Below are 27,771 nucleotides of genomic sequence, written 5' to 3' on the forward strand. Positions count from 1 at the left end.
CATCAAGGCTGCAGTGAGCCATGATCATTCCGCTGTACTCAGCCTGGGTGAAAGAGGGAGACCCTGTCTCAAAAAAAAAAAAAAAAAAAAAAAAAGCTAAATTGAGCTATCTACATTTTATTGCTAGGAAACCTACCAGTTTTTTTAAACACTAATATAAAACCTTAAGACTTAGATTTTTGTTTGTTTTAAACAGTAAATATATACCATTCTCCTAGGAAAGAATTACAACTCTTTATTCCTTTTTACTTTGCGTAGTATATAACATCTTAAGATGGCCTTTGGTGCTTTGGCTTGCTGTGGGATTGTATGTGAAACAGAAAACTAGGATAGAGAATTATGTAGAGTTTTACTTTGTTCATGTCTGTTGTTTAGCAAGATTTTACTTTTCCTTGTGTTTCAGTTGAGCTAGAATGAATAAGGCAAGAAAATAATGTCACTTGTTCTAAAAGAAGTGAACTTGTGGTTAGCTGGGGAGTTATGCACTGTAGTGAAGTAAGTCTAAGAGCCATTGGCAAGTATTGGGATAGATCCTCAGGTCCTCAAAACTTATTTGAGCAAGGCACATGAAAGAGAATTTCATGTTTTAAAAACAGGCTAATTTAGTTGGAAGCTGGTAATTTCTTTTTCTTCTTTTTTTTAGGGACAGGGTCTCACTTCGTTCTGTCACCCAGGCTGGAGTGCAATAGCGCAATCATGGCTCATTGCAGCCTCAACCTCCTGGTCTTAAGTGATCCTCCCACCTCAGCCTTCCGAGTAGCTAGGACCACAGGCATGTACCACTATGCCTGGCTAATTAAAACAAAAAATTTTTTTAGAGACAGGATGTCACCATGTTGCCCAGGCTGATCATGAACTCCTGGGCTCAAACAAATGATCCTCCCGCCTTGTCCTCCTCAAGTGCTGATATTAGAGGCATGAGCCACCACATCTGGCCAAAGCTGGTAATTTCTTTCTCAACCAGGAGGTTGAGGCTGAGACAGAGTCTTGCCCTGTCACCCAGGCTGGAATACAGTGGCGCAGTCTCGGCTCACTGCAACCTCCACCTCCCAGGTTCAAGCAATTCTCCTGCTTCAGCTCCCAAGTAGCTGGGATTACAGGTGCCTGCCACCACGCTTGGCTAATTTTTTTGTATTTTTGGTAGAGACGGGGTTTCGCCATGTTGGCCAGGCTGGTCTCAAACTCCTGACCTCAAGTGATCTACCTGCCTCGGCCTCTCAAAGTGCTGGGATTATAGGCATGAGCTACCATGCCTGGCCAAAGCTGGTAATTTCTTAATCATGAATTACTCATGTGAATGAAGTTTGGAATATTGCTAAATATAATTTAACTTTTTTTTTTATTTCATAATAGATTGTCTGAGTTTCCACATTTTCGAAATAATCATAAAACTGCAAGGACATTTGATACAGTTAAAACAAAAGATCTTAAATCTAGATCTCCACATTTGGATGATTGTTCAAAGACTGATCACAGAGCTAAAAGTGATGTTTCTAAAGATGTACATCATAGCACTTCACTGCCAAATCTGGAAAAGGAAGGAAAACCACATTCTGATAAAAGGAGTACTTCACATTTACCTACATCTGTTGAGAAACACTGCACTAATGGTGTTTGGTCACGTTCTCATTATCAGGTTGGCGAGGGTAGCTCAAATGAGGATAGTAGAAGAGGAAGAAAAGATATTAGACATAGCCAGTTTAACAGAGGAACTGAAAGAGTACGAAAAGACTTAAGTACTGGCTGTGGTGATGGTGAACCAAGGATATTGGAGGCTAGTCAAAGGCTACAAGGACATCCTGAGAAATATGGTAAAGGTGAACCAAAGACTGAAAGCAAAAGTTCGAAGTTTAAAAGTAACTCAGATTCTGACTATAAAGGTGAACGCATTAACTCTTCTTGGGAGAAAGAGACCCCTGGAGAAAGGTCACACAGTCGAGTAGACTCTCAAAGTGACAAAAAACTAGAAAGACAAAGTGAAAGATCACAAAATATAAATAGGAAAGAAGTTAAATCACAAGACAAAGAAGAAAGAAAAGTTGATCAAAAACCTAAATCAGTAGTAAAGGACCAAGATCACTGGAGAAGATCTGAACGAGCATCACTTCCTCATTCCAAGAATGAAATAACATTTTCTCATAATTCAAGTAAATACCATCTAGAAGAGAGAAGAGGATGGGAAGATTGTAAAAGAGACAAGAGTGTAAACAGTCATAGTTTTCAAGATGGAAGATGTCCATCTTCTCTTTCAAACAGTAGAACTCACAAAAACATTGACTCTAAGGAAGTTGATGCCATGCATCAGTGGGAAAATACACCTTTAAAAGCAGAAAGACATAGAACTGAAGATAAGAGGAAAAGAGAACAAGAAAGCAAAGAAGAAAATAGGCATATTAGAAATGAAAAAAGAGTACCTACAGAACATTTGCAGAAGACTAATAAGGAAACTAAGAAAACCACTACTGATTTAAAGAAACAGAATGAACCAAAGACTGATAAGGGAGAAGTCCTTGATAATGGTGTTTCTGAAGGAGCAGATAATAAAGAGCTTGCAATGAAAGCTGAGAGTGGTCCAAATGAAACAAAAAACAAGGACCTAAAATTGAGTTTTATGAAAAAATTGAACTTAACTCTTTCTCCTGCTAAAAAGCAACCTGTTTCCCAGGATAATCAGCATAAAATAACTGATATTCCCAAGTCCAGTGGTGTATGTGATTCAGAGTCTTCAATGCAAGTTAAAACAGTGGCATATGTTCCCTCCATAAGTGAACATATCTTGGGGGAAGCAGCTGTCAGTGAACATACCATGGGGGAAACCAAGTCAACGTTATTGGAACCAAAGGTTGCTCTTCTAGCAGTGACTGAACCCAGGATCGGTATCTCAGAAACCAACAAGGAAGACGAAAATAGTTTGTTAGTTAGGTCTGTTGACAATACTATGCATTGTGAAGAGCCCATTTGTGGTACAGAGACTTCCTTCCCATCTCCTATGGAAATACAACAGACAGAATCCTTGTTTCCATCAACAGGAATGAAACAAACCATTAATAATGGAAGGGCAGCAGCTCCTGTGGTAATGGATGTATTACAAACAGATGTGTCTCAAAACTTTGGCTTGGAATTGGATACCAAAAGAAATGATAATTCAGATTATTGTGGTATTTCTGAAGGTATGGAGATGAAGGTGGCACTTTCAACAACAGTGAGTGAAACCACTGAAAGCATTTTGCAGCCTTCAATTGAGGAAGCTGATATTTTGCCAATAATGCTTTCAGAAGATAATAACCCAAAATTTGAGCCTTCTGTTATAGTTACACCACTGGTTGAGAGTAAGTCGTGTCATCTGGAGCCTTGCTTACCTAAAGAGACTCTAGATTCTTCACTTCAGCAGACTGAGTTAATGGACCACAGAATGGCAACTGGTGAAACAAACTCAGTATATCATGATGATGATAACTCGGTTTTGAGCATTGACCTTAATCACCTGAGACCTATTCCAGAAGCCATCAGTCCTCTGAATAGTCCAGTGAGACCTGTAGCAAAAGTTCTTAGAAATGAAAGCCCACCTCAAGTTCCAGTGTATAATAACAGTCATAAAGGTAATAGTTTGTATTATCTTCTATAACTTTGCATTTTATGAGAATGTAAAATACATAAGATGAATTGGTGCTTTTTCTTTTTTGATAACATAAAAAGTAGCATATTACTCAGCCCCTGTTATCTAGAAGTGCACATGGAGGGTTTTTTTGTTTTTTGGTTTTTTTTAGATGAAGTCTCACTCTGTCCCCCAGGCTGGAGTGCAGTGTGCACAATCTTGGCTCACTGCAACCTCTGCCTCCTGAGTTCAAGCAATTCTCCTGCCTCAGCCTCCCAAGTAGCTGGGACTACAGGCGCGTGCCACCACTCCCAGCTAATTTTTGTATTTTTTTTAGTAGAGTCAGGGTTTCACCATATTGGGCAGGCTGGTCTTGAACTCCTGACCTCGTGATCCGCCCGTCTCGGCCTCCCAAAGTGTTGGGACTATAGGCGTGAGCCACTGCACCCAGCCATAGTTGTTTTTTTGTTTCTTTTTTTTTTTTTTTTTTTTGAGAGAGAGTCACTCTGTCGCCAGGCTAGAGTGCAGTGGTGCGATCTCAGCTCACTGCAACCTCCGCCTCCCAGGCCCAAGCGATTCTCCTGCCTCAGCCTCCCAAGTAGCTGGGATTGCAGGCACCTGCCACTATGCTCATTTTTGTGTTAGTAGAGATGGGGTTTCACCATGTTGGTCAGGTTGGTCTGGATCTCTTGACCTCGTGATCAGCCCTCCTCAGCCTCCCAAAGTGCTGGGATTACAGGCGTGAGCCACCACACCTGGCCCCAAGCACTTTTTAAGGTCAATAAAAACCAATGATACAGGCGGGGCATGGTGGCTCACACCTGTAATCCTAGCACTTAGGGAGGCTGAGGCAGGTAGATCATGAAGTCAGGAGTTCGAGACCAGCCTGGCCAGTGTGGTGAAACCCTATCTCTACTAAAAAATACAAAAATTAGCTGGGCGTGGGAGCAGTCGCCTGTAGTCCCAGCTACTCAGGAGGCTGAGGCAGGAGAATTGGCTTGAACCCGGGAGGTAGAGGTTGCAGTGAGCCAAGATTGCGCCACTGCATTCCATCCTGAGTGTCATAGCAAGACTTCGTTCTCAAAAAAAAAATCAATAATACAAGTATTAGGCATTAACATTCTGCTTCAAAAAGAACTAGTAAAACAGTGAATTGCCGGCTGGGCGCAGTGGCTCACGCCTGTAATCCCAGCACTTTGGGAGGCCAAGGCGGGCAGATCACGAGGTCAGGAGATCGAGACCATCCTGGCTAACACGGTGAAACCCCGTCTCTACTAAAAATACAAAAAAATTAGTCAGACGTGGTGGCGGGCACCTGTAGTCTCAGATACTCGCGAGGCTGAGACAGGAGAATGGCATGAACCCACGAGGCGGAGCTTGCAGTGAGCCAAGGTTGCACCACTGCACTCCAGCCTGGGCGACAGAGCGAGACTCCATCTCAAAAAACAAAAAAAACAAACAGTGAATTGCCTCAGTATTTAATTTTTTGTTATATGTAATATTTAATATGGACATGTCAAATAACTAAACTTTAATATACTTTTATCTTCTATAAATGTGTTTAATATATTTTTCTCTTCTACAGATGTGTTTTTACCAAATTCAGCTCATTCTACCTCTAAGAGTCAGTCTGATCTCAATAAGGAAAATCAAAAGCCAATTTACAAATCTGACAAATGTACAGAAGCAGACACATGTAAGAATTCACCATTAGATGAATTAGAAGAAGGAGAAATTAGAAGTGATAGTGAAACATCTAAACCACAAGAAAGTTTTGAAAAAAATTCCAAACGTAGAGTGTCAGCTGATGTGCGGAAGTCAAAGACTATCCCACGACGTGGGAAAAGTACTGTGTGTTTAGATAAAGACAGTAGGAAAACACATGTAAGAATCCATCAGACCAATAACAAATGGAATAAAAGACCTGATAAATCTAGCAGATCTTCAAAAACAGAGAAGAAAGATAAAGTGATGAGCACTTCCAGCTTGGAAAAAATAGTTCCAATTATTGCTGTACCCTCTTCTGAACAAGAGATCATGCACATGTTACGAATGATAAGAAAACATGTAAGAAAAAATTATATGAAATTCAAGGCAAAATTTTCATTAATACAATTTCACAGAATTATTGAGTCAGCAATTTTGAGTTTTACATCTTTAATTAAACATCTCAACTTACACAAAATCTCTAAGTCAGTGACTACCTTACAGAAGAATCTCTGTGATATTATAGAGTCTAAACTTAAGCAAGTTAAAAAGAATGGCATAGTTGATCGTTTATTTGAACAGCAACTACCAGATATGAAAAAAAAATTGTGGAAGTTTGTAGATGACCAACTTGATTATTTGTTTGCAAAGCTTAAGAAAATCTTAGTATGTGATTCCAAAAGCTTTGGAAGAGATAGTGATGAAGGCAAACTTGAAAAAACAAGTAAACAGAATGCACAGTATTCAAATAGTCAGAAAAGGAGTGTGGACAACTCCAACAGAGAATTGCTGAAAGAAAAATTATCAAAATCAGAAGACCCTGTTCATTATAAGTCTTTAGTGGGATGTAAAAAATCTGAGGAAAATTATCAAGACCAAAATAACTCCAGTATTAACACTGTAAAGCATGACATTAAAAAAAATTTTAACATCTGCTTTGATAATATAAAGAACTCTCAATCCGAAGAGCGCTCCTTGGAAGTACACTGTCCAAGCACCCCAAAGTCAGAAAAAAACGAAGGAAGCAGCATAGAGGATGCACAGACATCCCAGCATGCAACTTTGAAGCCAGAACGAAGTTTCGAGATTCTTACCGAACAGCAAGCATCGAGCCTTACTTTTAATTTAGTGAGTGATGCACAAATGGGTGAAATATTTAAAAGTTTGTTGCAAGGTTCTGATCTTTTAGACAGCAGTGTTAACTGTACTGAAAAAAGTGAGTGGGAGTTAAAGACTCCAGAGAAGCAGCTGCTAGAGACTCTTAAGTGCGAGTCTATACCAGCTTGTACAACAGAAGAGCTAGTTTCAGGGGTGGCTTCTCCATGTCCTAAAATGATTAGTGATGATAATTGGTCATTATTATCATCTGAAAAAGGTCCATCTCTGTCTTCAGGGCTTTCATTGCCGGTTCATCCTGATGTGTTGGATGAAAGTTGTATGTTTGAAGTGTCTACTAACCTACCTTTAAGTAAAGATAATGTGTGTAGTGTAGAAAAGAGCAAGCCCTGCGTTTCTTCCATACTTCTTGAAGATCTAGCAGTCTCTTTAACAGTACCATCGCCTCTGAAGTCAGATGGTCATCTCAGTTTTTTAAAGCCTGATATGTCGTCCAGTTCAACTCCTGAAGAAGTCATTAGTGCTCATTTTAGTGAAGATGCCTTACTTGAGGAAGAGGATGCATCTGAGCAAGATATTCATTTAGCTCTGGAGTCTGATAATTCAAGCAGTAAATCAAGTTGTTCTTCTTCCTGGACAAGCCGATCTGTTGCTCCAGGCTTTCAGTACCACCCTAATCTACCTATGCATGCCGTCATAATGGAAAAGTCCAATGATCATTTCATTGTGAAAATACGACGTGCAACACCATCTACCTCTTCTGGCCTTAAACAGAGTATGATGCCTGATGAATTATTGACATCTTTGCCCAGACATGGAAAGGAAGCTGATGAAGGACCAGAGAAAGAATATATTTCATGTCAGAACACAGTTTTTAAATCTGTGGAGGAATTGGAAAACTCCAACAAAAATGTTGATGGCAGCAAGTCAACTCATGAAGAACAGAGCTCTATGATACAAACACAGGTTCCTGATATATATGAATTTCTTAAAGATGCTTCAGATAAGATGGGTCATAGTGATGAAGTGGCTGATGAATGTTTCAAATTGCATCAAGTATGGGAAACAAAAGTGCCTGAAAGCATTGAAGAATTGCCTTCAATGGAAGAAATCTCACACTCTGTTGGGGAACATCTTCCAAACACATACGTAGATCTAACGAAAGATCCAGTCACTGAAACCAAAAACTTGGGGGAATTCATAGAAGTAACAGTTTTACATATTGATCAGTTGGGATGTTCTGGAGGCAATTTAAATCAGAGTGCTCAAATATTAGACAATTCTTTGCAGGCTGATACTGTAGGTGCTTTTATTGATTTGACACAAGATGCTTCAAGTGAGGCTAAAAGTGAAGGTAATCATCCTGCATTAGCTGTGGAAGACTTGGGATGTGGGGTGATACAGGTAGATGAAGATAATTGTAAGGAAGAAAAGGCACAAGTGGCAAACAGGCCTTTAAAATGCATTGTTGAGGAAACCTATATCGACTTGACCACAGAATCTCCCAGTTCATGTGAAGTAAAAAAAGATGAGTTAAAATCAGAGCCAGGATCAAATTGTGATAACTCGGAGTTGCCTGGGACTTTGCATAATTCTCACAAAAAGAGAAGAAACATTTCTGATCTAAATCATCCTCATAAAAAACAAAGAAAGGAAACAGACTTAACTAATAAGGAAAAGACCAAGAAACCTACCCAAGATTCTTGTGAGAATACTGAAGCTCACCAAAAGAAAGCCAGTAAGAAGAAGGCCCCTCCTGTGACTAAAGATCCCTCATCATTAAAGGCAACCCCAGGGATTAAGGATTCATCAGCAGCACTTGCCACTTCTACAAGTCTTTCTGCAAAAAATGTTATTAAAAAGAAGGGAGAAATTATCATTTTATGGACAAGGTAAGAATCTTGTGAGACATTGAAATCACCAGGAAATTTTGCACTCAGAAATCTAATCTGTCTGGCTGGGCGCAGTGGCTCATGCCTGTAATCCCAATACTTTGGGACGCTGAGGCAGGTGGATCACTTGAGCCCAGGAGTTTGGGACCAGCTTGAGCAACATGGCGAAATTCTGTCTCTACAAAAAAATACAAAAATTAGGGCCGGGCGCAGTGGCTCACGCCTGTAATCCCAGCACTTTGGGAGGCTGAAGCGGGCGGATCATGAGGTCAGGAGATTGAGACCATCCTGGCTAACATGGTGAAACCCAATCTCTACCAAAAATACAAAACTTAGCCAGACGTGGTGGCATGCACCTGCAGTTCCAGCTAGTTGGGAGGCTGAGGCAGGAGAATGGCATGAACCCGGGGGGCAGAGCTTGCAGTGAGCCGAGATGGCGCCACTGCATTCTAGCCTGGGCAACAGAGCGAGACTGTCTTAAAAAAAAAAAAGAAAAAAAATACAAAAATTAGCCAGGCGTGGTGGTGCAGGCCTGTGGTCCCAGCTACTTGGGAGGCTGAGGCAGGAGGATCACTTGAGCCTGGGAGGCGAAGGTTGTACTCCAGCCTGGGTGACAGAGCAAAACTCTGTCTCAAAAAAAAAAAAAAAAACCTAAAGTTACCTAGCCAGGCATGGTGGCAGGCACCTGTAGTCCCAGCTACTCAGAAGGCTGAGGCAGGAGAATGGCCGTGAACCTGGGAGGCGGAGCTTGCAGTGAGCTGAGATCACGCCACTGCCCTCCAGCCTGGGTGACAGTGCGAGACTCCCTCTGGAAAAAAAGAAAAGAAAACCTAAAGATATCTAATCTGTCATGTCTTCATAGCTTTATCATCCTAAAATAAGGAAAATGAGGACTTCAAAAGTGGCCAAAGGTAGTTGAAGATACATTCTAGAGTACAGACCTGCTGTACTGTTGTACAATCTAGAACAGTGGCTCTTAACCAGAGGTGTGCAGTAATACCATGGATATAGCTTTTCACTTCGAAAAGCTCTATTGTGAAGTTAAAAAAAGAAAAGTGAAGTGAAAAAAAGTTAAAAAGTGAAGGGAAAAAGTGTGTTTTAACTTCACTGTTTAAATTAAAAACTTACTTCATTTGGAAGGAACTGCTGTAAGCACATCTTAGAAGGAATGACAAGTGATGAAACACAGCAAAAAATCGAGTGTTGGTATAGGTTGGTGCTGCAAAACCACAATTACTTTTGCAGCAACCTAATAGTTTGATTTTTCCTCCAGATTAGAAGTTTACAGTTTTGTAAACCGGTTGTACTTTTGAGGGTTTTTGTTTGTTTGTTTGTTTGTTTGTTTGTTTGAGTTTCACTCTTGTTGCCCAGACTCGAGTGCAATGGTACCATCTTGGCTCACTGCAACCTCTGCCTCCCGGGTTCAAGTGATTCTCCTGCCTCAGCCTCCCGAGTAGCTGGAATTACAAGGGCACACCCAGCTAATTTTGTATTTTTAGTAGAGACAGGGTTTCTCCGTGTTGGTCAGGCTGGATTGTAGGTAGGAAGTACTGGATTACAGGCATGAGATGCTGTGCCTGTACACTTTTGAGTTTTATATGAACTGTTTAAGAAAATCAAGACCCCATTCAGATGTAAAAGTAACCAGTTATGAATCATTGGACTAGAGGTAGATATACTTGACTAGAATGCTGAATGAGAGAAGCTGAGTTTTGTGAAAACTGGTGATCAGTTTTGTTAATTCCACAGTCCTCAAATCCCCATTGCAGGTAACTTTGCAGATGGCAGTATAATATCTCAGCAATTGTATTAATACCCATTTGGTCAGAGTATGTAGAAAAAGCAGAGGTCTGGGAATTAGAAGATAGGATTCTATTTTAGTTCTGGTTCTTCTGCTTATTATGTCTGTGACCATCTTTGGGCCCTAAGTTTTTTAGTGTATACATTAAAGGTAGAATTAAAAAGAAATACTTTAATTTTGTCATTAAGAAAATCAGTAGATTTGTTATAGAATACATATGAACTCAGAACAAAATCATCTAAATCTTATTTCTCAGAGACACCCATTGTCCATATTTTGGTATATACACTTTTCCTTTTTCCTATGGGTTTAAATTTCCCTGGTTGGTGGACTTCAAGGCAGTGGGATTTTTATTACCTTTCTAATACAGTGTACTAAAACTAAATACAATTTTTTCCTCCTCAGAAATGATGACCGGGAAATTTTATTGGAGTGTCAGAAAAGAGGGCCATCATTTAAAACATTTGCATATTTAGCCGCCAAGTTGGATAAAAATCCAAATCAGGTAACTACCCAATTTTTACATCTCTATTGGTTCACAGATGTTGCTACTCTAAATACTTAAGATTTAGGCTAGGTGTGGTAACTCACAGCTATAATCCCAGCACAGCCAAGGTGGGAGGATCCCTTGAAGCCAGGAGTTCGAGACCATCCGGGCAACAAGGTAAGACTTCTGCCTCTACAGAAAAATTTTAAAAAATTAGTGGGTGCTGTCGTGTGCACCTGTGGTCTCAGCTCGGAAGGCTGAGGAGGGAGGATCGCTTGAGCCCAGGAGATCAAGGCCACCCTGGCCAATATAGTGAGACCATGTCTCTACAAAAAACAAAAAAAATAGCAGGACATGGTGACATGCACCTGTAGTCCCAGCTACTCGGGAGGCTGAGGCAAATTGATCACTTGAGCCCAGGAGGTTGAGGCTACAGTGAGCTGTGATCATGCAACTGCACACCAGCTTGAGACAGAGTGAGACCCTGTTTCAGACAAAAGTAAATAAATAAATGTTTAGATTGAATTTTTTTTCTTTTTGAATTAAAGTTAGTTTCATTCAGTCTTTTTTTTTTGGAAACAGAGTCTTGCTTTGTTGACCTTACTGGAGTGCAATGGCGTGATCTTGGCTCACTGCAGCCGCCACCTCCTGGGTTCAAGTGATTCTTGTGCTTAAGCCACCCGAGTATCTGGGATTACAGGTGTGTGCCACCACACCCAGCTAATTTTTTGTATGTTTAGTAGATTACTAGAGAGGCGGAGTTTTGCTGTGTTGGCCAGGCTGGTCTTGAACTCTGGGTCTCATGTGATCTGCTCACCTCGGCCTCCCAAAGTGCTGGGATTACAGGCGTGAAAAAAATGTTTTAAGAGATGGAGTCAGGCCAGGCGCGATGGCTCACGCCTGTAATCCCAGCACTTTGGGAGGCCGAGGAGGGCAGATCACAAGGTCAGGAGATTGAGACCATCCTGGCTAACATGGTGAAACCCCGTCTCTACTAAAAATACAAAAAATTAGCCGGGCACAGTGGCACACCTGTAATCCCAGCACTTTGGGAGGCCGAGGTGGGCAGATCATTTGAGGCCAGGAGTTCTATACCAGCCTGGCCAACATGGTGAAACCCCATCTCTACAAAAAATACAAAAATTAGCTAGGCATGGTGGCACGTGTCTGTAATCCCAGCTACTTGGGAGACTGAGGCATGAGAATCGCTTGAACCTGGGAGGTGGAGGTTGCGGTGAGCCAAGATTGCGCCACTACACTCCAGCCTGAAAGAGTGAGACTCTGCCTCTCAGAAAGAAAAGAAAAAAAAAACAAAAACTTGATTTGGACATAGAGCGCAGTGCTAGTGAAATCTTCAAAATATGTGTAGTAGTTTACTATGATGTTAAATTTCTTTTGTTTGTTCTGAGACGGAGTCTCACTCTGTCGCCCGGGCTGGAGTGCAGCCGCATGATCGCAGCTCACTGCAACTTCTGCCTCTCGGGTTCAAGTGATTATGACGTTAAATTTCTACTTATATAATTCAGAATGTTGCCGGGTGCAGTGGCTCATGCCTGTAATCCGAGCACTTTGGGAGGCTAAGGTGGGCAGGTCACCTGAGTTCAGGAGTTCGAGACCAGCCCAGCCAACATGATGATACTTCATTTCTACCAAAATTACAAAAATTAGCTGGGTATGGTGGAACGTGCCTGTAATCCCAGCTACTTGGGAGCCTGAGGCAGGAGAATCACTTGAACAAAACACAACAGAATACTGTAAGCTTGAATAATGGGGAATTTGGAGAAGAAGCTTATTCTAAAGAACTTTTTTTTAAAAAGCTCTGGGCAAAAGTGGCTTGATTATTTATTAGATTAACTGTGCTTTTTAAGATTTTTGCTGCCTTTAAGAAATTAAATCGTTTCTTTTTTTTACCTTAATGTTATATTAAAGTATGATTTCCGTTCTCTTGTGAAGAGAATGTAAATTCTTTTAAACAGAGATGGGGTTTCGCTGTGTTGCCCAGGCTGGTCTCGAACTCCTGGATTCAAGCGATCCATCTGCCTTGGCCTCCCAAAGTGCTCAGATTACAGGCGTAAGCTACTGCACCTGGCCAAAAATCTAAAACCATTTAATGAATTTGATATTTGAGATTTCTTTGCTTGCAGGATAGCACATATTGTGGGTTATTTCATTCGTAGCTTGCCTCTTAACTGATTTTTTTTCCCCACAAGTACTGTAGTCCTATTAAATTTTTGTCAATATCAAGTATAATGATAGTTACCAAACTGATTGCAAAAGCTAGGTTTTTTTTTAAATTTTGAGACCAATTGGAAGATGAGAAAGCTAGTTTATTAAACACCAATATCGTCTAAATGGAGCTCATTTAAGATAACACATTATGAGATAGTCCTATCAGAAAAATAGAATAATAACTTTAGCATTTTCTTACATTACAGATAAGTTGCTGAATTCCTGGGACTCTTAACTGATATTGCATACTACACAGAAGCTTCAAATTCCTCATGTTTTAAATGAGCACTAGAGGGAGGTTTATCACCTTTTTGGTTACCAGATGATAATCTATATTTGTTATTACTCAGTGACTCTCTAATTTCACATCAGCATGTTCAGCTTGTGCTAGTCATCATTCTGATTTGCTTATCTGTTTTTGGTCAAAATATTTATTTTTAAACATGTTAGAACTTACCAAAATGAAAGCAACAGTGATGTATTGAAATCTTAGTTTTGATATTTTAAAGAAATGACTTTCTAGATTAAAAAAATAGTTTTGTAGCATTTTAAACTTAGTGACTATTTAGTTCAATTGTTCATCCATTTTTTATTTGCTTTTATAATTGCCTCCTTGTTTTGGTATATTGTAAAATAATTTAAATAATGTATTTATAAATATGTATAATTATGATGTAAAATACCGTGTGTATATGTATGTATGTGTGTTTCTGTATATGCACACACATAAACGGCTTTGCCTAGCCAAGGATTTTTTTTATCTGTATAAAACTTTTTGTATAAAGTTTGCTTTCAATAACAGTAATGTATAATAAAACCATGTAAAGTTTTGTTGTATTTTGATTCGAATGTTTCTTTTACTTTTATTGTGTTTAGGTAATAATTTAAAAAATCAAAAGAGGTAAAAGTCCTAGGGGACGTAGGGTGCAATTTTGAAGTGGTTCCTGGTTGGGGTGTGGCTGGCTGAATGGTTCTGAGTAGATTGAGAAAACTGATTGCTGTTGCCTGCCTTCTCACAGCAAGTACTAGAACGGTGAACCATATCTCTGCTGCAGGTGTCCTCACAGATAAAATTAGAGTAGCACAAGAGCTTTTTGGGTGAAGCTTTGGAGAAAACAGGTGTAAGGATTGATTAGCTTGGGCATTACTTCTTCACCCTTCAGCCTTCAGACTCACAGAACTTCTCAGTTAATAATCTAGGCCCTAGACTCTAGGAAGTGCCTCTTCTCATTGCCATTTTTCTCAGGGTGTCCAAAGGAAGAAGCCCTGTCCTAAAAGATTACACATTGAAATAAATAGCAGTGGTTTTGTAGTGCTAGGGCTCTCCAACATGGGGCTTGTCCCCTTCCCTCTCTTTGAACCCTTAATACCAACTAGAGGGTTGGCCATCAGTCCTTCTGCAGTGCATACTCTCACTCAGAAGATCTCATACCACCAGGTAAGTGAGTTCACAAACAATATGATAACCGAAAGATACTACTGGTTCAAAAGAAAACTGGATTACATAAGACTTTCAGAATCTAAAATGAAACTAATAAACATTAAAAGATGTTAGCAACGTGATACAGGAAATAATGAAACATTTAAAGTAAATAACATAATAAATGGAGTAAAAGGATAGAGGCCAGGTGTGGTGGCTCATGCCTGTAATCCCAGCACTTTGGGAGGCCGAGGCAGGTGGATCATGAGGTCAGGAGTTCAAGACCAAGCCTGCAAGATGGTGTAACCCTGTCTCTACTAAAAATACCAAAATTAGCTGGGCATGGTGGTGGGTGCCTGTATTCCTAGCTACCCGGGAGGCTGAGGCAGAGAATTGAACCCGGGAGGTGGAGGTTGCAGTGAGCCAAGATCACACCACTGTGCTCCAGCCTGGGTAACAGAGCGAGACTCAAAAAAAAAAAAGGGTAGATACAGGTGCAGAATAAACTAGTTGGAAAATCAGGCTGAGAAACCACCAGAAGGAAGCAAGAAAAAGAATACAGGAAATATGAAAGCGGATTTAAGCAAGATGGAAGCCAGAAGTAGGTGTGCCAACATTCAGGTAAGAGGCCTAGAAGGAGGAAAAAAATAGAGATTGAAAGGGCCATAGGGTGCCAAATGAGAGACATACTGAAATTGAAGAGTATCAAGGTAACGAGAAAAATCTAAAAGCTTTTAGAGTAAATGTATAAAGGAACAAGAATAAGATTGACTTCAGTCTTCTCAAGTGCAATACTGGGTGCAGGAAAATAATGTCATATTTAAAGTACCGGACTTAAAGTTTTAGTCTATCTAAATTTGTCATTCACATGTGAGGAATTAATAAAAACATTAAGATTTACCAAAGATCTCTATCCAAAGGAAAAGAAGTCACTTTATCAGAAAGACACACACGTTTATTGCAGCACAATTCACAGTTGCAAAGACATAGAATGAACCTAAGTGTCCATAAATTGATGAGTGGATAGAGAATGTGGTATACATATATCATGGAGTGCTACTCAGCTGCACAAAAAGAATAATGTCTTTTGCAGCAACTTGTATTGAACTGGAGGCTGTTCTAAGTGAAGTAACTCAGGAATTGAAAACCAGATAACATTCAGGTGTGGTGGCTCACGCCTGTAATCCCAGCAATTTGGGAGGGTGAGGCGGGCAGATCACCTGAGGTCAGGAGTTTGAGACCAGCCTGGCCAACGTGGCAAAACGCTGTCTCTACTGAAAATACAAAAATTAGCCGGGTGTGGTGGCGGGCGCCTGTCATCCCAGCTACTCAGGTGGCTGAGGCAGGGAGAATTACTTGAACCTGGAAGGCGGAGGTTGCAGTGAGCCAAGACTGTGCCATTGCACTCCAGCCTGGGCAACAAAGCGAGACTCCGTATCAAAAAGCAAACACAAAAAAACCCAGATACCCCTTTCTGCTTCCACTGCCACCATGGCACTCATGAAAAAGCTTGTGGCAAAGCAGGGCAGAAAACAAAAAAGAAGCAGGTTTCTGAAGTTTACTCTTAATTGCACCCACTGTAGAAGATGGAATCATGGATGCTGCTAATTTTGAGCAGTTTTTGCAAGAGGGGATCAAAGTGAATGGAAAAGCTGGGAATCTAGGTGGAGGACCAAGAGCAAGATCACCATGACTTCTGAGGTGACTTTTTCCTAAAGGTATTTGAAATATCTCACAAAAAAATTTTGAAGAAGAATAATCTGTGTGATTGGTTGCACGTAGTTGCTAACAGCGAAGAAAGTTATGAATTACGTTACTTCCAAATTAGCCAGGACAAATAGGAGGAAGATGAGGATTAAAATTCATTTATCTGGAATATTTTGTATGAGTTTGTGAATAAAACTTGGGAACCAGAGGAAAAAAAAACCAGATACCACATGTTCTCGCTTATAAATGGGTATGCAAAGGCATACAGAGTGGTATAACAGAGATTGGAGACTCAGAAGGTGGAACAGGGAAGGGATGAAAAACTACATATTGAATACAATGTTTGCGACTTGGGTGACTGGTGCACTAGAATACTAGACTTCAGCACTGTGCAGTTCATCCATGTAACTGAAAACCACTTGTACCTCTAAAGGTACTGAAAAATTTTTTTAAAAAATGAAAAAAAGATTTGCTGGGCCGTGTGGGGTGGCTCACGCCTGTAATCCCAGTTCTTTGGGAGGCTGAGGTGGGCGGATCACTAGGTCAAGAGATCAAGACCATCCTGGCCGACATGGTGAAACCCCATCTCTACTAAAAATACAAAAATTAGCTGGGTGTGGTGGTGCACGCCTGTAATCCCAGCTACTCAGGAGGCTGAGGCAAGAGAATCACGTGAACCCTGGAGGCAGAGGTTGCGGTGAGCCGAGATAGGGCCACTGCACTCCAGCCTGGTGACAGAGCAAGACTCCGTCTCAAGAAAAAAAAAAAAAAAAGATTTGCCAATGATTCGCATTGAAAATTTTGGAAAAAATACTCAAAAAGTCCAGAAGATACTACAAAATCTGTGGGGATAACAGTGTTCAGATACCTTGGTAAGATGTGTATAGGGGGAGAAAGATTTTTTTAGAAAGCAATAAACCAGAATTATAATTTTAGACAGTATCAACATAATGGCGAGTAGAGGAGATCAAGGAAGTATACAAATGTTACAGTTCTTGCCTTGTTAGGAAGAAGGTATAGACATAAAAATGCCACACTTAAAATTGAGGTATGGCATTCACGTAGAAAAGTGCATGAAAGAAATAGTTTTCACAAAGTAAACACTTGTGTAACAGCACCCAGATCAAGAATTAGAACATTACCAGCCCTCCAGAGTGCCCCCCATTCCTAGTAATAGTCCTTCCTTCTCCCTAGGGACAAACATTATCAGAACACTGTCTCTGATTTATATTATCATAGATTAGTTTTGCTTGTCTTTGAACTTTCAAATGGAATTATAACTGTAGATACTATTTGGCTTATTTCATTAAGCAATATGTGAGGTTCATGCCTGTGTTGAGTATAGCAATACTAAATTCTTTCTCACTACTGTATGTATTTCAATTGAACCACAATTTATCTATCCTACTGTCATAGACATTTGTGTTCTAGTTCAGAACTGTTAGAAATAATGCCATTGGCTGGGCGCAGTGACTCATGCCTGTAATCCCAGCACTTTGGGAGGCCGAGGCGGGCAGATCACGAGGTCAGGAGATCGAGACCATCCTGGCTAACACGGTGAAACCCTGTCTCTACTAAAAATACAAAAACAAAAAATTAGCCGGGTGTGGTGGCAGGCGCCTGTAGTCCCAGCTACTTGGGAGGCTGAGGCAGGTGAATTGCTTGAGATGGACTTTAGCTCTTGTTGCCCAGGCTGGAGTGCAGTGGCGTGATCTTGGCTCACTGCAAACTCCACCTCCCAGGTTCAACAAATTCTCCTGCCTCAGCCTCCCAAGTAGCTGGGATTACAGGCACCCGCCACCATACCTGGCTAATTTTTTTGTATTTTTAGCAGAGACGGGGTTTCTCCATGTTAGCCAGGCTGGTCTCAAACTTCAGACCTCAGGTGATCCTCCCACCTCGGACTCCCAAAGTGCTGGGATTACAGGCAGGCATGAGCCACCACATTCAGACTTTTTTTTGTATTTTTAGTAGAGACAGTGTTTCACCATGTTGGCCAGGCTGGTCTCAAACTCCTGGCCTCAAATGATCCACCCACCTTGGCCTCCCAAAGTGCTGAGATTATAGGCATGAGCCACTATGTCTGGCCTATTTTATTTTATTATTTATTTATTTACTTTTTTTTTTTTTTTTTTTTTGAGACAAGGTCTCACTTTGTTGCCCAGGCTAGAGTGCAATTGTGCAGTCACTGGTCACTGCAGCCTCGACCTCTTGGGTTCAAGTGGTCCTTTCACCTCAGCCTCCCAAGAAGCTGGGACTGCAGGCGCACACCACCATACCCAGCTAATTTTTGTGTATTTTGTAGAGAGAAGGTTTTGCAGTGTTGCTCAGGCTGGTCTTGAACTCCTAAGCTCAAGCAATCCCCCTCCTATCCTCCCAAAGTGTTGGGATTACAGGCGTGAGCCACTGTGCCCAGCCTACCACTTTTTATTTAACCATTCAGTGGACATTTGGGTTGTTTCCACATTTAGGCTACTGTGGAGTATTATGAACACAGCTGTTCATATTTGGGCCCCTGCTTTCTGTTCTGTACTCATTTATTTAATTTTACTTTTTTACCAGCTTCTACATCAAGAACACAAAGCTTGGCAGGGTGCACTGGCTCATGCCTGTAATCCCAGCACTTTGGGAGGCCTAGGCAGGATGATCACTTGAACCCAGGAGTTCAAGACCAGCCTGGGCAACATAGTGGGAATCTGTCTCTTAAAAAAAAAAAAAAAAAAAAAAAAAATTAGCCAGACGTGGTGGTGGCACCGGAGTGTGGTGGCACACTCCTGTGGTCCCAGCTACTCAGGAGGTTGAAGTGGGAGGATTGCTTGGACTTGGGAAGTCAAGGCTCCAGGGAGCCATGATTCTGCCAGTGCACTCCAGCCTGGGAGAGAGTGTGAGACCGTCTTAGAAAAAAAAAGGAAAAAATGTATACTGTTTATCAGCTTACAAAAGTTTCTTTCTAGGCTGGGCGCGATGGCTCACGCCTGTAATCCCAGCACTTTGGGAGGCCAAGGCGGGTGCATCACTTGAGGTCAAGAGTTCGAGACCAGCCTGACCAACATGGTGAAACCCTGTCTCTACTAAAAATACAAAAATTAGCTGGGCGTGGTGGCATACACCTGTAATCCCAGCTCCTTGGGAGGCTGAGGCTGGAGAATCGCTTGAACCTGGGAGGCAGAGGTTGCAATGAGCCAAGATTGTGCCACTGCACTCTAGCCTGGGTGACAGAGTGAGAGATTCCATCTCAAAAAAAAAAAAAAAAAAAAGTACCTCCTTTATTTATTTTCTCCTTTATTAAATGTGGTAAATTAAATCATTAAAAAAATTAAACCTTGCAGTTTCAGAATAAACTTTACTTTTATTTCATTTTTTCTTAAAACTCCTTGTCAACACAATAATAAACCCAACTTTAAAGTAATGTATTATATCCTTTTTAAATATATTGTTGGATTTAGTTTACTATACTGTTTGTTTAGGATATTCTGTTTGTGTGTGTGTGTGTGTGTGTGTGTGAAATTGGCTTACATTTCTTTCTTTCTTTTTTTTTTTTTTTTTGAGATGAAGTCTCACTGTGTCACCCAGGCTGGAGTGCAGCGACGCGATCTTGCTCACTGCTGCAACCTCTGCCCCCTGGGTTCAAGCGATTCTCCTGCCTCAGCCTCCTGAGTAGCTGGGTTTACAGGCACCTGTTACCGCACCCGGCTAATTTTTGTATTTTTTTAGTAGAGACAGGGCTTCACCATCTTGGCGAGGCTAGTCTTGAACTCATGACCTCATGATCCACCCACCTTGGCCTCCCAAAGTGCTGGGATTACAGGTGTGAGCCACTGTGCCTGGCCCATTTTTTTCTTTCTTAATGTCTTGTAAGGTTTTGGTATCCAAGTTATGCTGACTCTGTAAAGTGAATTGGAATGTGTTCCCTCTTTTTAAATTCTTGAAAAGTTACATGATAAGATCAGTGAAAAACGTGAGCATAAGCCCATTGCTGAGCTTATTCTCCTGTGAAATCTGTTTCTTGAACAGAAAATGTGTACAATGCCATAATGGCGAATAAGTATTCCATTAGGCTGTGCTTGGTGGTGCTGACAAAAGCATTAAGGTCAGGGAGGTAAATCCATACTTGGAGAATACGTCTCTCCCAGTGAAAACAAATTACATTCCCCTCCATGGATAGGGTCAGTCTGATGTAAGAAACCTGCTAGTAGGTAGTTGGCTAGTCCATATTGGGACTTAACTTTGACTTTGTTCTTGACATGCTAAGCCTTCCACAATGGAGGCACCCAGGTCAGCTCTGGTGAGTGGAAATCCATGTCGCTGAGCCCATAGCCTTCTTTCTCACCACCATGGTGATTTTGTTTATGGGTCCATTGAGCAAGCACTGGATTTGCAAGGGAAAGACACAGACTGACATCCCCAGAATGTATTATTTTGTTCATTTCACTATTGAGATTCTCTTCTACAGTAGGTGTCTTTGGTGAACACTGACATAAAACACAAATATCTTCACATTTTGTCTCTAATCCTAGAAGTCCCTTCACGATACTTTTTTCTTAGACCTTGTCACATTTTGTTTTTTCCAAGTCTTAAACCATCCAGCCAAACCTTTAACCACTTCCCTTGAATGTACATCCTATGTCTGGCCCTTTCCCACTCCAGTTGAAGAAGACAATCATATATGCTGCTCAAAGTTCTACCTCCCAGGAGAATTTCCCTTCAACATTATCTCCTGGTTGGCATTGTAACATTGCAGCAGTCTATTTCTGGCCTTTGCTGGCACATCAGTCAGAAACATCTGGAAAATAGGCCCAAATATTTTTTCTCCCCCCCAGTTAACCGGTCATAAGGAACTTCATATGAGGCTCTAGGTGTTGACTGAGTGAGAAAAGAAGCAGGTACAGTATTGGGTATCAGAGGAATCTGCTTATGCAACTAATACACCTTCCAGACCTGCTTCAGCCTGATGTTTTATATAACATTTACACTTATTGATGTATTGCTGCTGTGTGTGCCCAACCTTATGGTGGCATGGATCAGATAATACCCAGTTCATTCTGGATATCTCAGGTCACCTGGTCACTTGACGTACCATGGTCAGGCATTCAGTCTCTAACAGGGCATAGCTATGCTCCAGAATGCTGAAGCTCTGCACTGTGATTCTTTTATTAAGGCTTGCTAGAGCCTCCATGTGACATATTGTATTAATCAGTTCTCATGCTGCTGATAAAGATATACCCAAGACTGGGTAATTTATAAAGAAAAAGAGGTTTAGTGGACTCACAGTTCCACATGACTGGGGAGGCCTCACAATCATGGTGGCAGGCCGGAGAGCTTGTGCAGGGGTACTCCCATTTACAACACCATTAGATCTCATGAGACTTATTAACTACCACAAGAACACTATGGGGGGGAAACCATCCCATGATTCGATTATCTCCACACGGCCCCACCCTGGACACCTGGGGATTATTTCAATACAAGGTGAGATTTGGGTGGGGACACAGCCAAACCATATCACATATTTATTAGCTAAAGTTTCTTTGAATTCATCTAATTTGCTGGGATTTTGCACACTCTTGCACTGCAGACTGAACTTACTGCAGAGTTTTTTCTTTCTCTGTTTCCCAGGAAAATCTCACAGCCTTACAGGTTATTCATTTAATGGACCAGAGTAGCATATCAAATGACTTCCATAATTCACAAAGGCTTATCAAGCATTGCACCTTTTTTTTTGTATGGTGTTGGTGGTAGTGGTAGTTATAGTGCAAGGGATAGAAACTACTTTCACTTGGGGAGGACTGGATCTCTAGAAACTTTGCTGAAGTGGCAGGTCCCTTAATTTTTGTGGGGCTTGTATTCTACCCTGTGGCCTGCATTTGTCTTCTTACTAAAATATCGACAGTACTTTTCTCTTGCTCATCAGGTCTAATCAGCATTATGTTATCAATGTAGTGACCCAGTATGATATTCTGGGGGTTATCAAGCTCATCTAGACCTCTGTGGCCTAGATTATGGCAGAGAACAGGAAAATTGATGAAGCCCTTAGGCAAGATGGTGAAAGATGTATTGTTGACCCTGCCAGATAAAAGCAAATTGTTGGAGGTTGGCAGCATACATTCTAACACTCCAGGGCCTTATAAAAATCAAGAAAGTAGCCATTCTCAGATGTCAGGCCTGCTCAGCTCATGGAAGCTTAGAATTAAAAAAATATATATATATGTACATATATATATTTCATAAAAATATATATTCCTATAAACAACATATAGAATTGAGAGTTTTAAATTTATGAGAGTATTCCAAAGTATGTTTTGTTCTGTGATGTCCTTTATTCACTCAGATTTCTTTTTATTCAAATGGAGTTTTGCTCTTGTTGCGCAGGCTGGAGTGTGTGCGATCTGGGCTCACTGCAACCTCCACCTCCCAGGTTCAAGCAATTCTCCTGCCTCAACCTCCCAAGTAGCTGGGATTACAGGCATGTGCCACCACCCCTGGCTAATTTTTTGTAATTTTTAGTAGAGACGGGGGTTCACCATGTTGGTCAGGCTGGTCTCCAACTCCTGACCTCAGGTGATCCACCTGCCTCAGCCTCCCAAATTGCTGGGATTACAGGTGTGAGCTACTGCGCCCAGTCACTAAGAATATTTTTGAAATTTATGTTAATACAGACTCATTCACTTTGTTTTGTTCTGAGACGGAGTCTTACTCTGTCGCCCAGGCTGGAGTGCAGTGGCGCGATCTCCGCTCACTGCAAGCTCTGCCTCCCAGGTTCACGCCATTCTCCTGTCTCAGCCTCCCAAGTAGCTGGGACTACAGGCACCTGCCACCACGCCCAGCTAGTTTTTTTGTATTTTTTAGTAGAGACGGGGTTTCGCTGTTTGCCAGTATGGTCTTGATCTCCCAACCTCGTGATCCGCCCACCTCGGCCTCCCAACGTGTTGGGGTTACAGGGGTGAGCCACGACGCCCGGCATTTTTTTTTTTTTTTTTGAGACGGAGTCTTGATCAGTCGCCCAGCCTGGAGTGCAGTGGCGTGATCTCGGTTCACTGCAAGCTCTGCCTCCCGTGTTCACGCCATTCTCCTGCCTCAGCCTCCCGAGTAGCTGGAACTACAGGCGCCCGCCACCACACCCGGCTAATTTTTTTGTATTATTAGTAAAGACGGGGTTTCACCATGTTAGCTAGGATGGTCTCGATCTCCTGACCTCGTGATCCACCCACCTTGGCCTCCCAAAGTCCTGGGATTACAGGCGTGAGCCACCGCGCCCGGCCCACTTTGTTTTCTTTTTAAGGCAAATGACTTCTGTTAATATTTGCAAATTGATATAGAGAAAAAGCATTTGCCATGTGAATGGCTGCATACTGTGTGACAAGACTAATTCGATTTCTTCCATTAAAGATACCACATCTGGAGCAGTAACTGCAATTGGAGTCAGTGCATGATTAAGGTGATAATTTTCTAAGATCTATTATTCTTTTTCTGTACAAAGGATGAGATAGGTAGTACCATGCAGCACATTTAGTGTCTTTTTTCTTTTTGAGACAGGGTCTCACTCTGTTGCCCAGGCCCCAGGCTGAAGAGCAATGGCATGACCTTGGCTCACTGCAACCTCTGCTTCCCCGGTTCAAGCAGTTTTCGTGTCTCACCCACCCAAGTAGCTGGGATTACAGGCATGCGCCACCATACGTGGCTACGTTTTGTATTTTTAGTAGAGATGGGGTTTCACCATGTTGCCCAGGCTCGTCTGGAACTCCTGGCCTGGAGTGATCCACCCGACTCAGCCTTCCAAAATGCTGGCCCCTTGAAAAGGGCCACTGTGCTCAGCCGCTTTCAAGACTTTAATCTCTGCAATTGCACTAATCTCTGCAATTGCCCTGAGGATGAAGTATTGTTTTTTTGTGGGGGAATTTAAATCTTCCATCCAACTCTTTCCTCTATTATGTCCTATCTCCTCTGTGTTATTTCCTCTCCTCTTCTTTAATTTCTTTTAGGTTGATTATTTTTAATTCAATTTTACCTCTCTTAACTTTATTGTTCTCTGAGAGATTACACATGCATCCTTTACTTATCAATGTTTAAGAGATTACACATGCATCCTTTGCTTATCAATGTTTAATATTCTGACTCTGACAAAATGCATTCAATGTATTACATTCATTACTTTTCAGGTGACTTTTTACCTAATACTATACAAATACAGTTATTAATACATCATATGTTTTTACCTCTAGTTAATTCTGACAGATAATTTGTACTTTGGGCTGATGTGCCAGGCTAGTGGAAGTTTAATGTCACCTGTCTACCTTTCATTATCATCCTTTTTTAAAAACTAAATGACCAAAAATAGAATAGGCAGATGATAACGATGAACTATCAGTAATTTTATGCACTTCTACATTTTATATGGAAAAGAGCAGGCTTAGAAATGTGCCTCAGAGCTGTGATCTGAAACCCTCATTGGGTTCTAGTGATGCCCTTGCGGTCAACACCTCTTAAGATGGCAAGAAGATTATATGCTTGAGATGTGACTAGCGAAAGATGCTGCACACTGAGAGTTTGGAGACCTGGTCTATCAGCATTGGGCAAGTCGTTTGACCTCTCTGGAATTCTCATTCTTTCTCTACAAAAATCAGACCTAGGTTTCTAAGGCTACTACTGGCTTCCAGATTCTCTATTTAGAAAGAAAAATATTTTCTTGAGCCATATGTTTTGACCTAATAGAATATTGCTACAACAAGAATGGTGATGCACACCTGTAGTCCCAGCTACTCAGGAGGTTGAGGTAAGAGGATCACTTGAGCCCAGGAGTTGGAGTCCAGCTTGGGCAACAGAGCAAGACCCTATCTTTAAAATACTAGTACTACTACTACTACTACTACTAATAGAATATCGGCACAGAAATGGACGGCATGCTGTGGCGGGGCTGGTGCAAGATGCCGCTGCGGGTTCAGGTGTTTAATTTGCAGTAGGGGCTGGGCGCGGTGGCTCATACCTGTAATCCCAGCATTTTGGGAGGCTGAGGAGGGCAGATCACTTGAGGCCAGGAGTTGGAGAGCAGCCTGGCCAACATGGTGAAACCCCGTCTCTACTAAAAATACAAAAATTAGCCGGGCATGATGGCGCATGCTTGTAATCCCAGCTACTCAGGAGGCTGAGGCAGGAGAATCGCTTGAACCCAGGAGGCAGAGGTTGCAGTGAGCCGAGATGGCGCCACTGCACCCCAGCCTGAGCGACAGAGGAAGACTCCACCTCATTTAAAAAAAAAATACATACATACACACACACACACACACACACACACACACACACACACACACACACACACACACACACACATTTGCTGTAGGTGTTACCTCCTCCTGCCTGGCATGGCCAGGAACTTAATCTTGAGCTCCAGCCTGTCGTCCTGTACGCTACTCTGAGGAGGCGGCTGTGGAGCCCATGCAAGTCGACAAGGACCTCCCGGAGGACCTGCAGAATGCACCCGACATCAACTACTTGGTGGACGCCACCCTGGAACTGGAGCAGTGCGTTGCCAGTTGCAGCGGCCTGATGTGCACTGAGCGGCTGCAGTTTATTGCTGACTGACTACTGCCCCTTGCTGCGGGTGGATGCCCTGAATATGGCGCTCTCCTTCCTGCAGAGAATCTTTAACGTGGACCTGTACGAAGAGGTCCACCGGAAGCTCTCGAAGAGGTCCACCTGAAGCTCTCGGAGGCCACCAGGAATCTGAGGAACTCACCCGACGCCATCCTTGAGAGTGGCGTGGAGCCCCCGTCCCTGGACACGGCCTGGGTGGAGGCCACTCAGAAAGAGGCCCTGCTTAAGCTGGAGAAGCCGGACGCAGACCTGAAGAACTACAAGCGCAACTCCACCAAGGAGCGCACCAGGCGCGGCCATGATGATTCAGCAATGCCCTCAAGTGTCACTCACGGCCTGAGACTACTGCAGCAGCGCCAAGCACGCCATCAACATGTCCTCAACGTCTTCAAGGTCAGCGTCTACTTGCAAAATTGGCCTTACGTGCTGAGCCGCGTCAGCAAGGCCGAGTCCACCCTGGAGATTGCCTAGCAGCGAGGACAGAGGGGCAGCCAGCCAGGCGCAGGCGGTCCTCACCCAGCTTCAATGCGCTGGAGGCTTGGCAGAGCTGGTCGCGAGGAAGTACAAGCAGGCTGCCAAATGCTTCCTGCTGGCTTCGTTTGATCACTGTGACGTCCCCCAGCTGCTGTCCCCCAGCAACGTGGCCGTCTGTGGGGGCCTATGCGCCTTGGCCACCTTCGACCGGCAGAAGCTGCAGCGCCGCCTCATCTCCAGCAGCTCCTTCAAGTTGTTCTTGGAGCTGGAGCCGCAGGTTGGAGACATCGTCTTCTAATTCCACGAGTCCAAGCGTGCCTCGTGTCTGAAGATGCTGGACGATGCCTCGTGTCTGAAGATGCTGCACCTTTAGCCTTGAGGCCAGGAGTTTGAGACCAGTTGGGTCAACATGGCGAAATCCCGTCTCTACTAAAAAATACAAAAATTAGCTGGGCGTGGTGGTGCCTGCCTGTAATCACAGCTACTCCGGAGGCTCAGGGAAGAGAATTGCCTGAGCGTGAGAGACAGAGTTTGCAGTGAGTCGAGATCGCGCCGCTGCACTCTAGCCTGGGAGAAAAAGAGAGACTCTGTCTACACACACACACACACACACACACACACACACACACACACACAAAGGAGGAGATGTAGGACGACCTGCTCTTGGACATGTGTACCTCCCCCACCCCCACTCCCTCACCGCCCCACCGTCAGGACCCTGTACGCCCAGATTCGCAACTCTGCCCTCAACTCGCACAGGGTGGCCGTGCCCTTAGCCCCGCTGTGGCAGCCCGGGAGGGTGAGCTGACGCAGCAAGTCCGGGAGGGGCTGACGCGCCCGCGTGGACTCGCACAGCAAGATCCTGGACGCCCGGGATGTGGATCAGCGCAAGCACCACCTTCGAGAAGTCTCTGCGGATCGGCAGGGAGTTTCAGCACCGCGCCAAAGGCCGGATGCTGAGGGTAGCTGTGCTGCGCAACCAGATCCACGTGAAATCCCTTCCAGAGAAGGGAGCCCGGGGAGCGACTCCGGCCAACAGCCAGTCCCGGTGGACACCAGCTTCTTAGGGGTCAGCCTCCAGGACGTCTGCACACCCTCCCGCCCCAACGGACCTGTTCACTTCGAGGCAGCTCTGTGCCACCCGCGGCCCAGTGGAGAGCCTGGCTGTGTGCCCTAGCACCCCGTGTGCCCTCGCACCCCATGTGCCCTGTGCTGGGGCCTGGGAGGCAGGCGGCTGCTAGCCATCCTGGAAGGCGGGGCCTGTAGGGCTTGACCGCGTGGGTGTCTGTACCTAGGAAGCAGGCTGTGCAGCGCCTAGGGGGCACCACCTCCTGGAACCCTCCTATTCCAAGGAGGGAGAGGGGAAGGGGAGGGGAGGGGAAGGGAGAAGAGGAGGAAGAGGAAGAGGCAGAATAAGAAGAGGAGGAGGGAGAGAGGAGGAGAGGGAGGTTTATTTTTTTCTTTTTTTTCGAGGCGGAGTCTTGCTCTGTTGCCCAGGTTGGAGTGCAGTGTCGCGATCTGGGCTCACTGCAGCCTCCACCTCCTGGGCTCAAGTGATCCTCCCACCTCAGCCTCCCGAGTAGCTGGAACTGCAGGTGCACAACACCATGCCCAGCGAATTTTTGTGTTGTTTTGCAGAGATGGGGTTTTGCAGTGTTGCTCAGGCTAGTCTCGAGCTCCTGGGCTCAAGTAACCTGCTTGAGGCCTCCCAAAGTGCTGGGATTACAGGAATGAGCCACCACGTACTGGTCTTTT

The 27,771-nt window shown here is 43.1% G+C and overlaps 1 protein-coding gene and 2 pseudogenes across 3 annotated transcripts in view, besides 1 other annotated feature; all 3 read left to right on the forward strand.

Moving 5' to 3' along the window:
• Positions 1-13,664, forward strand: part of CASP8AP2 (caspase 8 associated protein 2) — a gene marked incomplete in the record, with an annotated part of 44,557 nt that extends 30,893 nt beyond the window's left edge. For all 3 annotated transcript variants that reach the window (NM_012115.4, NM_001137667.2, NM_001137668.2), the window contains 4 exon segments: positions 1,354-3,599; positions 5,181-8,310; positions 10,517-10,616; positions 13,029-13,664. In NM_012115.4, the coding sequence (NP_036247.1) occupies positions 1,354-3,599; positions 5,181-8,310; positions 10,517-10,616; positions 13,029-13,037 (5,485 nt within the window).
• On the forward strand, positions 15,717-16,160 carry RPL22P14 (ribosomal protein L22 pseudogene 14; annotated as a pseudogene).
• On the forward strand, positions 25,282-27,268 carry LOC644269 (G protein pathway suppressor 1 pseudogene; annotated as a pseudogene).
• Positions 26,360-26,933: an enhancer, noted in NCBI's record as "H3K27ac-H3K4me1 hESC enhancer chr6:90596851-90597424 (GRCh37/hg19 assembly coordinates)". NCBI's record gives its function as "activates a minimal SCP1, AML or CMV promoter by ChIP-STARR-seq in primed H9 embryonic stem cells {active_cell/tissue: H9 hESC(primed)}" and the evidence as "EXISTENCE:reporter gene assay evidence [ECO:0000049][PMID:30033119]".
• Positions 27,269-27,771: the final 503 nt, after the last annotated feature.

The sequence above is a fragment of the Homo sapiens genome, chromosome 6 (assembly GCF_000001405.40).
Source record: "Homo sapiens chromosome 6, GRCh38.p14 Primary Assembly".
NCBI lineage: Eukaryota > Metazoa > Chordata > Mammalia > Primates > Hominidae > Homo > Homo sapiens.